This window comes from Homo sapiens, chromosome 6 (genome assembly GCF_000001405.40).
Source record: "Homo sapiens chromosome 6, GRCh38.p14 Primary Assembly".
In the NCBI taxonomy this organism is placed as follows: domain Eukaryota; kingdom Metazoa; phylum Chordata; class Mammalia; order Primates; family Hominidae; genus Homo; species Homo sapiens.
This window is the reverse complement of record NC_000006.12, coordinates 41,933,250-41,947,059: the sequence shown is the minus strand read 5'-3', so window position 1 is coordinate 41,947,059 and position 13,810 is coordinate 41,933,250. Positions and strand designations below refer to the sequence as shown.

Here is a 13,810-nt window from a genome sequence, read left to right as displayed (position 1 = left end):
TTTTAGTAGAGATGGGGTTTCACCATGTTGGTTAGGCTGGTCTCGATCTCCTGACCTCGTGATCTGCCCGCCTCGGCCTCCCAAAGTGCTGGGATTACAGGTGTGAGCCACTGCACCCAGCCAATTTTTGTATTTTTAGTAAAGATGGGGTTTTGCCATGTTGGCCAGGCTGGTCTTGAACTCCTGACTTCAGGTGATCCGCCCACCTCGGCCTCCCAAAGTGCTGGGATTACAGGTGTGAGCCACCGCGCCCAGCCGAAGAGTGCTCAATTTTTACTGATAGGAATGGACAAGCAAAGAGTTTTAAAGATTAATGTGAAATATTGTACAAATATTACAGATGCTCATAATAGTGACCTGGAATACTGTAAGCACCGAGATAGCTCCTTGATTCTCAAAGAAAAAAGCTAAATTATATGTAGTTTGGTTTACTGCTTTTTTTTTTTTTTTTTTTTTTTTTTTTTGAGACAGGTCTCTGTTGCCCAGGGTGGAGTGCAGTAGTGCGATCTGGGCTCACTGCAATCTCCATCTCCCAGGCTCAAACAATTCTCCTGCCTCAGCCTCCTGAGTAGCTGGGACTACAGGCGTGCGCCACTGCGTTCGGCTAATTTTTATATTTTTTTTTTGGTAGAGATGGGGTTTTACTGTGTTGGCCAGGCGGTCTCAAACTCCTGGCCTCAAGTGATCTGCCTGCCCCTGCCTCCCAACGTGCTAGGATTACAGGTGTGAGCCACCGTGCCCGGCCAACTTTGTGCTTTTAAGTCCCGCAATCACAACTAACTTTTTAAAAAAGGGTTCACCACGTGCCAGCCACTCTTCTATGTATTTTAAACAAATCAACCCATTTCCTCCTCACAACCACTCTGTGGGGGGGTACTACTGTTATCACCATTTTTAGAAAAGGAAACTGAGGCACAGAGAGGTGGTTTAACTTAGCCAAATTCACACAGTGAGGGAGTGGAGTGGCAGAGGGGTGTGGCTCCAGGCCCTGGAGGGTCCTCTCCATACGCTAGACCATGCGTTTACCGTTAGAAGCCAGGTCTTCAGGATTTGCTAGAGATGCAATTCTAGGAGTAGGGCTCTTGCTGCTCAAACTTTTGCTTTTCTTAGAGGGGTTATGGATGCATGTTCATAACAGAAAGGGTACTCCTTGAGAAAGGGAATAATAATAATCATTTCAGAAACTACTATCTCTGAATGCTTGCTTTGTGCCAGGCACAGGTAAGACATTTTCTGCTTGTTTAATTTTCAGAACATCATTATAGGGCTATTATATTATCCCCACTGGATAAAAGAGGAAGCAGAGAGGTTCCAGTAATTCTCTCAAAGTCATAAGCTGTGGAGCCAGGTTTGAACTGAAAGCAGTCTCTGACTCCAGAACCCTGTTTAGCACCCCTGTTCTCAGCCCCATGGCTCGCTTGGCTCTCCCCAGCATCTCAATGGGTCTGAAGGTAACTAAGCCATGGCATGTGGACTGTGGGGTGATGGGCCTCACCCATCACCTTGTTCAGCCTCTCACTTCTCAGATGCGGACTTTTTTTTTTGGAGACAGAGTTTCGCTCTTGTTGCCCTGGCTAGAGTGCAATGGCACGATCTCGGCTCACTGCAGCCTCTGGCTCCAGGGTTCAAGTGATTCTCCTGCTCAGCCTCCGGAGTAGCTGGGATTACAGGCATCCACCACCACACCTGGCTAATTTTTTGTATTTTTAGTAGAGACAAGGTTTTACCATGTTGGCCAGGCTGGTCTCGAACTCCTGACTTCAGGTGATCCACCCGTCTTGGCATCCCAAAGTGCTGGGATTACAGGCGTGAGCCACCGTGCCTGGCCCAGATGGGGGTATTTTGATGATGAAGAGGAAGAGAAAGAAAATGTATCTTTCCTCCTTGGGGTTTCTTATTTGGCCTGTGACATTCCATTCCCACCCCTCCTCCAATTTGCCATTTTATTGACTTTTTCTAACTGGATGTACCTGGGTAGAAACTCCTCATACTATTGGCCCTGGTCATTGCTTTGTCTTTAGTTTTCCTTTTAGAAAAACAAAAACAAAAACAAGAAAAACAAGAGGAGCCTCTATTTCTTTGAGGTGGAGGTAACTGGTGAACTTGTGCTGGTCCTGCATTGAGCTCACCTGCCTCCCCAGTGGCCAGTCCTTGGCCCTGAAAGTCAGGGATGATCTAGCTCTAGGCATGGCTATTCCATCCAGGGGTGAGGCAGAAGTATCTCTCCTAAAGTCCTGCTCACCAGGAGCTCCCGTCCCCATACTACAGGTTCACATCCAGCTTTCAGGACTAGTCAGTCTATGTGGCCCTCCCTCAATTAATAAATCAGCAACTAATTTGCCAGGTGCGGTGGTTTGTGCCTGTAATCCCAGCACTTTAGGAAGCTGAGGCAGGCAGATCACTTGAGGTCAGGAGTTCGAGACCAGCCTGGCCAACATGGTGAAATCCCGTATCTACTGAAAATACAAAAATTAGCCGGGCATGGTGGTATGCACCCGTAATCCCAGCTACTCAGGAAGCTGAGGCAGGAGAATCACTTGAAACCAGGAGGCAGAGGTTGCAGTAAGCTGCACTCCAGCCTGGTGACAAGAGCAAAACTTTGTGTCAAAAAAACAAAGAAAACCAAAAAACAAAGAAAAACACAAAAAACCCTTCTATTTGTTAAAAAAAAAAAAATCCACCGTGAACCAAAAATTAGTAAAAACAATGAACTAAAATTTTGTTTTTGCAAAATGTATGATAACAAAATGTTAAGGAAGGTCATGTGCCGTTATGGTTCACTGCAGCCTTGAACTCCTGGGCTCAAGCGATCCTCCTGCTTCGGTCTCCCTAGTAGCTGGGACTACAGGCTTGTGCCACCGCACCCAGCTTATTTTTTTTTTTTATTTTTTGTAGAGATAGGAGTCTTGCTTTGTTGTCCAGGCTGGTCTTCAACTCCTAGCTTCCAGTGATCCTCCTGCCTCAGCCTCCCAAAGTGCTGGGCTGATGGGACATTTTTATACATAGTGCCATGTTACTATAAATGAGAAGTTTTAAAAATACTGATTTTAAAAATTAATTTATGTCAAGAATTTTTATAACCAAAGTTAAAAAACCAAACAAAAAATATGAAAAGGGTTAATATCTTTGAGAGGTGATGAGAACTTATAAGTCAATAAGAGAAAACAAACATCCCTATAAATGAATAAGCTAAGGACATGAATGGGTAATGTACATAAGAAATGTAAATGTCTAGTAATATGCCAAAATAGATTTATTATTACTAATAAGCCACTTTCACTCTCTAGTTGGCAGAGTTGTTTTGAAAAATAGATATGTAATGATGGTGGAAAAGATTGGTTTAACTATTCAGCAGGAAAATTTGGCAATTAGAAGTGTATCAAAAGCCTTAGAATGTTTCATAACCTTAGATTGGGAAATTCCACTTCTAGAAATTAATTCACTTCTAGAAATAATCATGAGTGTGCACAAAGATATTACCACAAAAATATTTTACAGTATTATGTCTAATAGAGAAGAACTAGAAATAATTTAAATTTCCACCAATACAGGTTTGCCAAAATACATTTTGTACATTCACCTAATGGTATATTATGTCCCTATTACAAATTATGTCCTAGAATATTTAATAGCATGGAAAAGTGTTAACAGTATTTTTTTAATGAAAAAAGCTTACAAAACAGTTTGTGATGATTCCATTTAAAATGTGTGTTTATTCATAGAACAAAGATTAGAAAAATAAACATTGATATATTAAAGGGTTATTTCATGGCAAATTGCAAATGATTATTTCCTTTTTTTGTGGCTTATTTGTATTTTTGAAGTTTTCTACAATGTAAAAGAATATTTTATGATATGAAAACTACAATACAATTTATAATATAAGAAAGAATAATTCGGCCGGGAACGGTGGCTCACGCCTGTAATCCCAGCACTTTTGGAGGCCGAGACCGGCGGATCACGAGGTCAGGGGTTCAAGACTAGCCTGGCCAACATAGTGAAACCCCATCTCTACGAAAAATACAAAAATTAGTCAGGCATGGTGGTGCGTGCCTGTAGTCCCAGCTACTCGGGAATTGCTTGAACCCGGGAGGTGGAGGTTGCAGTGAGCCCAGATCGCACCACTGCACTCCAGCTTGAGCAACAGAGTGAGACTTCGTCTCAAAAAAAAAAAAAAAAAAAAAAAAGAATAATTAACAGAAAATGGTTAGACACTTCCTTAGTGTCTCCTAAGTCAGGAGGACCCCAGTAGGGCAGGGATCCTCATGGCCTCCTCCCATTTGGAGCATTATTGGAGGTCTTTTTCGGCCTCTTCGTCAAGTGGAATCTAGCTTCCGGTAAAACTACAAAGTAACCAAAAGTTTGGGAGGTGGAAGAAATGCAACCGGTAGATCTCACAGAGTCTGTGCAAGAAACTGATTCAATGAGAATCTAGTTTCTCCGTCCACAGTTTCTCCAAACAGAAACTAAGGCCGACTTTAGGGGCTTGTCCAAACCTAGGCAAGCAACTTAACAAGGTGAGGCCATGACTCCATGGCCTTTCCGTTCTGTTATATGCTGACTTAGACTAAAGCTCTCATACTTTAAAGTGCACAGAAATCTAGTTAAAATGCAGATTCTGATTCAGGTTAGGGGTGGGCCTGAGAGTCTGCATTTCTAACCAGCTCCCAGGCGATGACCACGCACGGGACAGGTCTGGGATCACAGTTTAACTAGCAATGGTGTAGAACACAGAATCTGCAGCAAGAAGGCCAGCTTCCCAATCCTAGCTCTGCCACGGACCAACTGAATGACAGTTGCCTCGGTTTCCGAGTTTTCGTGAAGATGTAGTGAGTCATTACATCGTGAGGCTTTCGAGCAGCGTTCACTAAGAACTAGCTCTGACATTATTTATCGCATTCCTTAGAGCAAGCAGCCGGTGAAGTAGGGTTTGACGAATGAATAAGTGAATGAATGACCTTTGGAGAAAAATTGTTTCCTGGGTGACTAGAGTCCGAGAAGCAAAATGGGAGGGCCCGTGGGTGGGTAGGAGGCCCACCTCCTAGAAAGTTCTCTGCACCCGGTGGTCCAGAGGGCCTGGAGTGCCCGGAAGCCGGCCGGCTTGCGCTCAGCGGCCCAATGGGGCCGCGGGAGGGAGGGGAGAGCGCTCAGCCAACCCTTTCCGTCCGGGGCGCCGCAGCCCCGCCCCTCGGAGCGTTGCGACGTCCGAGCATTCCACGGTTGCTACATCGTCGCGAGGGGCGGGGCGCCTGTCAGGGAAGCGGCGCGCGCGCGCGGGCGGCGGGCGGGCTGGGGATCCGCCGCGCAGTGCCAGCGCCAGCGCCAGACCCGCGCCCCGCGCTCTCCGGCCCGTCGCCTGCCTTGGGACTCGCGAGCCCGCACTCCCGCCCTGCCTGTTCGCTGCCCGAGTATGGAGCTGCTGTGTTGCGAAGGCACCCGGCACGCGCCCCGGGCCGGGCCGGACCCGCGGCTGCTGGGGGACCAGCGTGTCCTGCAGAGCCTGCTCCGCCTGGAGGAGCGCTACGTACCCCGCGCCTCCTACTTCCAGTGCGTGCAGCGGGAGATCAAGCCGCACATGCGGAAGATGCTGGCTTACTGGATGCTGGAGGTACCGCCCGGACGCGTCCCCCTCCCCCACCGCTCCCGGGTCTGGACACACCGGGGCCGCCCTGTCGGGACATCCCGGTCCCCACAGCAATCTGCAGGATGCTCCGAGGCTAAGACTCCCGGGGCCTGGCCTTTCACTAGGGCACCCACGCCAGCTGCCTCCCTTGCTTTCCCGAGCCCTAATCGGCTCCTCCCGACAGTGACTGCCAGTCACTTGGCACCCTAACTGTGCCTCTCTTCGGGCCGAGCAAACGGGACCAAGGACACTCTCTCCCCTTCGGCTTCTCACAGCGTCTCCCGCTTCCCTCCGCCTCCCGGCCTTCTCCGGAGAGCGCGCCTGGAAAACCCTGGGCTCGGCCGCCCCCGCCCGGGAGCCGGTTCCTGTGTCTTTCGCGGGGTTCTGGCGGGGAAGGCGATGGGGGTGGCGCGCGCCCTGTTCCGGCCGACAGGGAAATGAAAAGTGCAGGAGGCAGCGGCAGGAGCCTCCTCCCTTCCCCTCGGGTGTGTGCAGTGGTGGCGGTGATGGGGGTGAGGTCCCAGCTCTCTGGCTACCATGGGTGACCCTTGCGTCCCACTTCCCCTCGCTGTGGGGGAGGGGAGTCTCCGTTTGGAATCCTCCGTGAGCAAGGGCTCCTTGGCTTTACCACTCCCCCGTCAAGGGGAGAGGGGAGGAGGCCGCGCAGAGGAAGTGGGGGGCGTCACCTTGGGGAGGGCGCATCCTCCTCCTTTATTGGTCCTTGTCTCTCTAAGTAGCTTACCCTCTCTGCCGTTTTTGCTCCCTATCCCACCTCACTTCAGCGCTCCCACCCCCCCGCTGCTGTGTTCCCCACGCTCCAGACCCAGCAGTGACTGTGCGCCCTCCCCCAGGTATGTGAGGAGCAGCGCTGTGAGGAGGAAGTCTTCCCCCTGGCCATGAACTACCTGGATCGCTACCTGTCTTGCGTCCCCACCCGAAAGGCGCAGTTGCAGCTCCTGGGTGCGGTCTGCATGCTGCTGGCCTCCAAGCTGCGCGAGACCACGCCCCTGACCATCGAAAAACTGTGCATCTACACCGACCACGCTGTCTCTCCCCGCCAGTTGCGGGTGCGTGTGTAACTCCCCCCACCCCCGACACGTATTGTCTCCCCACTTTCCAGGAAAAGGAAAGCTTGAGATATCAGAGGCTTTCTGCCCCCTGGAGAGGAAGCAAGGGGATCAGGACCTTTGGGAAAGGAATTGGGGTGGAACAAACGATGGGGCATTGTGGTGTGATGGTTAGTATCACTCCCGCCCAGGCTTGAGCTGCAGGCAGGCATTAAACCCCCTCCTCCTGACCTCCAGGGGATGCCACTCCTTCCTGGTCTTTCCCCCAGATAGCAACAAGTCAAATTGCATGTCTACACTCACTAGTACTTTGCCTCTGGGTTTACGCAGCCACCATGAGTTATTTATTGGCAGCAGAAGGGCATGCCTGCACACCCCCACTGGAGTAGGGGAGTGGAATGTGCTTCATGTGGGGGAGGGGGTTTTGCCTTGGTTGAGTCTTTATCCTCATGTGGACTTTGTGATAGAAAAGCCTCCCAGAGCCAATTAAAGCCAGGCCCTGATTGCTTTAAGGAAGGGCTGATGTATTTCATCCCACCTTCTTTGCTTCCTCTTATATCCCGGAAGAAACAGCTTCTTCCTAATCCTTCCTCGTCCTCATTCTGAGGAACTGGAGCAGCTGCTTTGGGCCTGGTGGAAACAGCTCCCTCTTCCCCCCTTAGCCCAAGGCCCAAGCTGAGGGACAGACAGGGAGGTGAGCTGCATCTGCTTCCGATGTGATAATGGTGCCCCCTCCCCTGGCCCGCCCTCTCTGACCAAGGTCTTTCATAACCCTGTGGGGAGCTGCTGTCACTCCTGTGGTTTGGGAAGTGGCTCCCTGGGCCTCTTGCTGGAAACTTGGGCTGGGCTCAGGCCGGGCAGGAAAGTCACCGGTTCTGTCCCGCCTCAGAAGGAGCCTGGGGAGGAGGCGGGGGAGCTGCTGGATCTGGAAGAGGTTATTTAGGACATGCAGATTGTCTCCTAGGGAGGCTGGGGGAGAGGGTGGGTGAGCTGGCACCTTCCTCCACCTTGCTCTGTGGCGGGCCAAGTCTTCTGCTGACCCTGAGAGGAGTCTCTGGGCCCCATCTCCCAGGGAGGAGGGCAGCAAGCAGGCTGCTGTGATTGGCTGGCAGGGAAGCCAGGGTACTGGGGCCCCCGACTGCTGTGAGTCGAGGAACAGGATTCCTCTTCCTGCCAAGTAGCTCAGAGATGGGAGTAGGAGGCCAGAGTTGGGAATCCAGGAGGCGCCACAGCTCTTTGTGATGAATCTGGTAGTTTTTGGCAAGTCTGAAGGTGGAGCTAGTTTCCAGGGCCAGAGAGCAAGATGTTTTTGGAGGGGTTGGGGCTGGAAGGTAGAAGGGGAACTTCCTTTTTGTGAAAAGATGGAGGTGGTTTGTGTGCCCACGTATGAGGGTTTTTCAGTACAGGCAAAAAGTACTCTTCCCTCTGCCTGAGCTGGGGGTGGAGTGCCCAAAAGACTTCCTAGAAGGTCAAGGTTGGAAGGGACCTCTGAGAACTCCAGTTGGTCCAAATCCGTGTGCAGCAGAGGAGGCTGAGGCCCAAGGAAGGAGGGCAAGGTCCTGCCTCAGCATCGCACTGAGCAGATGAGTGTAGAACCTGGGTCTTCTAGCTAGACCAGGTTGCCTTAAAAGTCAGGAATGTGATGGCCGCTGCCACCTACTGAAGCTAAGCACTCCCAGGGGTGTGTTCTCCACCAGTTAACACTGGGATTCTCTGGTTGCCTGGATATGGGGAAAGGTGGCCACTTTCCCTCAAACACAACCCCTTGCCTCCCCATAGGGAGAGTCCCACTCCCAGTTGCCTTCCAGATGCTTCCTTAGAAGCTGAGTCCCTTCTGTTTACTGCTGAGTTAGGAGTTGGCTCCTGGGACATGCACTAGGGGTAGCGTTGTAATTTATCTGTCTCACTTCTGGCTCCAGGCCAGGCTATTTTCTCTGGGGCTCTGTGAGGGTAGGGGTTGATTTGAGAGGCTGACACCTAAGCTGGGGCCAAGAGAGAGACAGCTGTGGCTGGGGCCTGGAAGAGGTTGGGTGGGGTTGCCATTTCTGCCTCAATAAGGAGTCAAACCCACAAGTTCCTTCCTGAGATAAAACAATGAAGAAATCCTCATGTGTGCAACTCAGAAATGGGGCCAGGTCTGGGAACCCATGACGAGTGGACTGGGGTGGAGCTCCCAGCCTTCTCCCGAGACCTAGTACTGGCAGGTAGGCTTGGGTAGGTGAGGATAGGGCTTGATCCCTCTGGAATCATTTGGAGCCATCCTGTCTGGCTTGGCCTCTACCTATCCTCCTGAAAGTCAAGTGGCATGGGGCACTACGGGTTCCAGCTAAAGGGGGTGGGGTGGGGTGCTATACCTCAGGACCCATCCCTGATATCCTACCAAGGGGATGTGGCTTGGGTTGGGCAATCTCCCCTTTGAGGAACCTGAGAAAAGGCTCTGTGGCTGTCATTGGAGGAGTCATACTCCCTTCTGTTGATTCAAGAAGTGTGGACTTGGCTGGGATGCAGAGTTGCAGGGGAAGCTAGTGGTGATCTCCCCTTTCACAAATCCTTGGGGTTGAGAGAGTCTTTCTGCTTCATCCCAGAAGAGAGCCCAGTTCATGGTGATGCTGTGGTATCTGCTGCTTCCGTCTTTCAGCCCTGGCTGGAGAAATCCTCAGAGCCCTGAATGAAGTCAGGAGAAGGCCTGGATTATTGGCCCCTTAAACATAACCAGACAGGATTAAAAGGGATAATCCATGTAAAGCATGTTGTCCTGGCACCTAGTAAATGATCAGTAAGTGCTCAAAGCACATGCCTCCTCCTCTTCCCTGCCTTGAACTCCATGGTGCCCGGCCTTAAAATCAGAAACAGAACTGGGGTCTTGGGCTTTAAAAGTTTGATGGGCTTCCCTGCCTGAGACTTTGAGACTTCTGCTTTGCTCCCTCCTCTTCACTTCTCCAGCCACTGACCCCACCCTTTCCCCGCTTTTTCAGGACTGGGAGGTGCTGGTCCTAGGGAAGCTCAAGTGGGACCTGGCTGCTGTGATTGCACATGATTTCCTGGCCTTCATTCTGCACCGGCTCTCTCTGCCCCGTGACCGACAGGCCTTGGTCAAAAAGCATGCCCAGACCTTTTTGGCCCTCTGTGCTACAGGTAAGAGCCCTATGCACATTTTTGCCAAATTGGAAAAATCAGAAGACTTATAAGGGTGAGAGGTAACTGAAGATTCTGGTTTATACTGTCAAAATTCCTTTGTGAAAATTATACCCCCTCTGAGCCCCCAGTCTCAATGCAGAAAAGCAGGTTATAATCAGCTATATGGGATCTCAGACCCCTCCAGTTTGTAGTGGGGACACTGAGGGTATAGAGAGAAGTGACTTGCCCAAGGTCTCACAGTGAACAGGTTGGGAACAGAACCCCAGTCTCTTGGCCCTAGTTGTGTTCCCATACTAGGGAGTGTCTTGTCTATTCCCGGGACCTATGGAAACTGGCAGTTGGTTCTGATCTCTAGGAAAGATACTCTTTCCTGTCTTCCTCCCTTGCTGATATCTTGCCCCACCCACTGCTGGAGTTTTCCAGCATGTCCTCTGCTCTACTCATGCTGCCTGGCACTTTCCAAGGAGTCGGAAGTCCATGCTGGCCGTTATCCTTCAGGTTTCCTTCTCTCATGGTTCCCTTTCCTCCTCTCCAAGATTATACCTTTGCCATGTACCCGCCATCCATGATCGCCACGGGCAGCATTGGGGCTGCAGTGCAAGGCCTGGGTGCCTGCTCCATGTCCGGGGATGAGCTCACAGAGCTGCTGGCAGGGATCACTGGCACTGAAGTGGTGAGTGCTGGGTAGCTGGGCAGCAGCCTCTCCATTCATAAAGTAGTGCTATGCCCTGAGCCTCCAGTAGAGGGAAACCTCCAACCCCAACCTGGTCCCAAGTCCTGGTTTCACAACCTTGGGGCTTTGTGGCTTTTTATCTCCTGCCTTGGTCTGGGGAAGAGCAAGTATCTTGGGTGGGGTGAAGGGCACTGGCCCTAGGGGTTCTTTTCTTGCCAAGTGGTGTGCTGGAGTGGGGGTGGGGGGTTTGGTGTCAGATGCAGGGCTGCTCTCACACTCCCTTGCCACATCCTCTTGCTAGTTTCTGAGAACTAAAGAGCGATTCCTGGGGCCGGGCTGTGGCCTAACCTCCCCAGACTTCCCCATGTGTTGGGAGCTGTCCTTCCCCTGCACCTGCTGCCAGATGCTATGGGGGGAGTGTTTGCTCCTCACTCTTCTCCCATGTTCCCAGGACTGCCTGCGGGCCTGTCAGGAGCAGATCGAAGCTGCACTCAGGGAGAGCCTCAGGGAAGCCTCTCAGACCAGCTCCAGCCCAGCGCCCAAAGCCCCCCGGGGCTCCAGCAGCCAAGGGCCCAGCCAGACCAGCACTCCTACAGATGTCACAGCCATACACCTGTAGCCCTGGAGAGGCCCTCTGGAGTGGCCACTAAGCAGAGGAGGGGCCGCTGCCACCCACCTCCCTGCCTCCAGGAACCACACCACATCTAAGCCTGAAGGGGCGTCTGTTCCCCCTTCACAAAGCCCAAGGGATCTGGTCCTACCCATCCCCGCAGTGTGCACTAAGGGGCCCGGCCAGCCATGTCTGCATTTCGGTGGCTAGTCAAGCTCCTCCTCCCTGCATCTGACCAGCAGCGCCTTTCCCAACTCTAGCTGGGGGTGGGCCAGGCTGATGGGACAGAATTGGATACATACACCAGCATTCCTTTTGAACGCCCCCCCCCACCCCTGGGGGCTCTCATGTTTTCAACTGCCAAAATGCTCTAGTGCCTTCTAAAGGTGTTGTCCCTTCTAGGGTTATTGCATTTGGATTGGGGTCCCTCTAAAATTTAATGCATGATAGACACATATGAGGGGGAATAGTCTAGATGGCTCCTCTCAGTACTTTGGAGGCCCCTATGTAGTCCGTGCTGACAGCTGCTCCTAGAGGGAGGGGCCTAGGCCTCAGCCAGAGAAGCTATAAATTCCTCTTTGCTTTGCTTTCTGCTCAGCTTCTCCTGTGTGATTGACAGCTTTGCTGCTGAAGGCTCATTTTAATTTATTAATTGCTTTGAGCACAACTTTAAGAGGACATAATGGGGTCCTGGCCATCCCACAAGTGGTGGTAACCCTGGTGGTTGCTGTTTTCCTCCCTTCTGCTACTGGCAAAAGGATCTTTGTGGCCAAGGAGCTGCTATAGCCTGGGGTGGGGTCATGCCCTCCTCTCCCATTGTCCCTCTGCCCCATCCTCCAGCAGGGAAAATGCAGCAGGGATGCCCTGGAGGTGGCTGAGCCCCTGTCTAGAGAGGGAGGCAAGCCCTGTTGACACAGGTCTTTCCTAAGGCTGCAAGGTTTAGGCTGGTGGCCCAGGACCATCATCCTACTGTAATAAAGATGATTGTGAAATAAAACTGGCTTTGGCTTCTTGGATTGGTGTGTGGGTAAGTCTATTTCTGCACTGTATGAGGTAAGGAGGTGGAAGTCAATGGTCTAAAGCAGGGATCATTGAGCCTTTTCTGTAAAGGGCTGGATATTTAGGCTTTGTGGGGTACATGGTCTCTGACCCAAATATAGTCAGTTCTGCTTTATAATGTGACCTATGCGTTCCTAAAAATCACTATGCCATGCAAAATTGCACAATAAAGACCACAGGTCTCATGGGAAAAATGGGGCTTGAAGCACAACACTCAAATGAGTGACACATTTAAAAAAAAAGGATAGCTTGGTTTTTACATATGTCAAATGGTTGAGAAATTATATCACAATAAATATGGCCTTTTATCTTGAAGACATGCACTTTGCTTTTGGAAGTGGACGTCGGAAGGGTTGCTCAACACAGGTGGGGAGATGAGTGAGGTAGCTGGTACATGTTTAGGTGTGAGTTTTGTGTACTACTTAGGCTTGGTTCAGCTAGATACAGTTTCCCATATTCACCTACTATTTCTCGAGGATGAAATCACACACAAGCAAACATGAAGTCTGCGTTATGATCAAACTGTTCCCAAATATATTAAATGGGTTGGAACAAATGCGCAATTTCGAAAGCAAATAACAAGGGTTATAGCAGGATTATACTTAAACTCTGCTGTTGTAGCACAAAACCAGCCACAGAAAACATGTAAATGGGTGAGCATGGCTGTTCCAACAAAACTATTTATGGATGCTGAAACTGGAATTTCATGTAATTCCTACCTATCACAAAATACTGTTTTAATTTTTTCCCCATTTAAAAATGGAAAAATCATTCTTAGCTCATGGGCCACACAAAAATGGGCACTTGGGCTGGGTGCAGTGGCTCATGCCTGTAATCCCAGCACTTTGGGAGGCCGAGGCGGGTGGATCACCTGAGGTCAGGAGTTTGAGACCAGCCTGGCCAACCTGGTGAAACCCCTTCTCCACCCCGTCTCTACTAAAAATACAAAAATTAGCCAGGCGTGGTGGCACGCACCTGTAGTCCCAGCTACTCAGGAGGCTGAGGCAGGAGAATCTCTTGAACCATGGAGGCGGAGGTTGCAGCGAGCCGAGATCATGCCACTGTACTCCAGCCTGGGCGACAGAGCGAGACTCCGTCTCAAAAAACAAATCAACAAAAAAAGGGGCACCTGGCCCTAGTTTACTAGTCACTAGTCTAAAGCTTTCATTGGCTGAAAAGCCAGAAAGGGAGCCTGTTTGATGCTAGCTCTGATCTAACCATTCTTGGGCCCAGCCTTATTCTCTGGCCTTTTTTTTTTTTTTTTGAGACAGTCTTGCTCCGTGGCCCAGGCTGGAGTGTAGTGGCCCCAATCCTGGATCACCGCAACCTCCACCTCCCAGGTTGAAGCGATTCTCCTGCCTCAGCCTCCCAAGTAGCTGGGATTACAAGCACACGCCACCACACCCAGCTAATTTTTGTATTTTTAGTAGAGAAGGGGTTTCACCATGTTGGCCAGGCTGGTCTCGAACTCCTGAACTCAGGTAATCCACCTACCTCAGCCTCCCAAAGTGCTGGGATTACAGGCGTGAGCCACCAAGCCCAGCCTCTCTGGCCTTTCTTGACTCTTATCTCTGCTTTCCCCAAGGAGTTTTCTCTTGTAGTCCTTTCATCCACTGCTGAGACACGACCATCTTTGGACA

The 13,810-nt window shown here is 50.9% G+C and overlaps 1 protein-coding gene across 17 annotated transcripts in view, besides 6 other annotated features; it reads left to right on the top strand.

Moving 5' to 3' along the window:
* CCND3 (cyclin D3) overlaps nt 1-12,127 on the top strand; it is a 115,103-nt gene extending 102,976 nt beyond the window's left edge. For 3 of the 17 annotated variants that reach the window (NM_001424057.1, NM_001136126.3, NM_001287434.2), the window contains 3 exons: nt 9,666-9,825; nt 10,365-10,501; nt 10,953-12,108. In NM_001424057.1, the coding sequence (NP_001410986.1) occupies nt 10,379-10,501; nt 10,953-11,120 (291 nt within the window). In that variant the 5' untranslated portion in view covers nt 9,666-9,825; nt 10,365-10,378 and the 3' untranslated portion in view covers nt 11,121-12,108. Of the gene's footprint in view, nt 1-5,251; nt 6,109-6,474; nt 6,691-7,854; nt 8,895-9,665; nt 9,826-10,364; nt 10,502-10,952 lie in introns of those variants that run through there. The other 14 variants (NM_001424053.1, NM_001424055.1, NM_001424052.1 and 11 more) reach the window with 13 other exon arrangements.
* Nucleotides 5,070-6,021: an enhancer, noted in NCBI's record as "H3K27ac-H3K4me1 hESC enhancer chr6:41908777-41909728 (GRCh37/hg19 assembly coordinates)". NCBI's record gives its function as "activates a minimal SCP1, AML or CMV promoter by ChIP-STARR-seq in naive H9 embryonic stem cells {active_cell/tissue: H9 hESC(naive)}" and the evidence as "EXISTENCE:reporter gene assay evidence [ECO:0000049][PMID:30033119]".
* Nucleotides 5,104-5,553: a silencer, noted in NCBI's record as "silent region_17196". NCBI's record gives its function as "represses an Ori minimal core promoter by ATAC-STARR-seq in GM12878 lymphoblastoid cells {active_cell/tissue: GM12878}" and the evidence as "EXISTENCE:reporter gene assay evidence [ECO:0000049][PMID:35858748]".
* Nucleotides 6,064-6,193: an enhancer, noted in NCBI's record as "active region_24531". NCBI's record gives its function as "activates an Ori minimal core promoter by ATAC-STARR-seq in GM12878 lymphoblastoid cells {active_cell/tissue: GM12878}" and the evidence as "EXISTENCE:reporter gene assay evidence [ECO:0000049][PMID:35858748]".
* Nucleotides 7,150-7,965: an enhancer, noted in NCBI's record as "H3K27ac-H3K4me1 hESC enhancer chr6:41906833-41907648 (GRCh37/hg19 assembly coordinates)". NCBI's record gives its function as "activates a minimal SCP1, AML or CMV promoter by ChIP-STARR-seq in primed H9 embryonic stem cells {active_cell/tissue: H9 hESC(primed)}" and the evidence as "EXISTENCE:reporter gene assay evidence [ECO:0000049][PMID:30033119]".
* Nucleotides 7,275-7,569: an enhancer, noted in NCBI's record as "tiled region #4595; K562 Activating DNase matched - State 5:Enh". NCBI's record gives its function as "activates a minimal TATA promoter and a strong SV40 promoter by Sharpr-MPRA in K562 cells {active_cell/tissue: K562}" and the evidence as "EXISTENCE:reporter gene assay evidence [ECO:0000049][PMID:27701403]".
* Nucleotides 7,966-8,781: an enhancer, noted in NCBI's record as "H3K27ac-H3K4me1 hESC enhancer chr6:41906017-41906832 (GRCh37/hg19 assembly coordinates)". NCBI's record gives its function as "activates a minimal SCP1, AML or CMV promoter by ChIP-STARR-seq in naive and primed H9 embryonic stem cells {active_cell/tissue: H9 hESC(naive and primed)}" and the evidence as "EXISTENCE:reporter gene assay evidence [ECO:0000049][PMID:30033119]".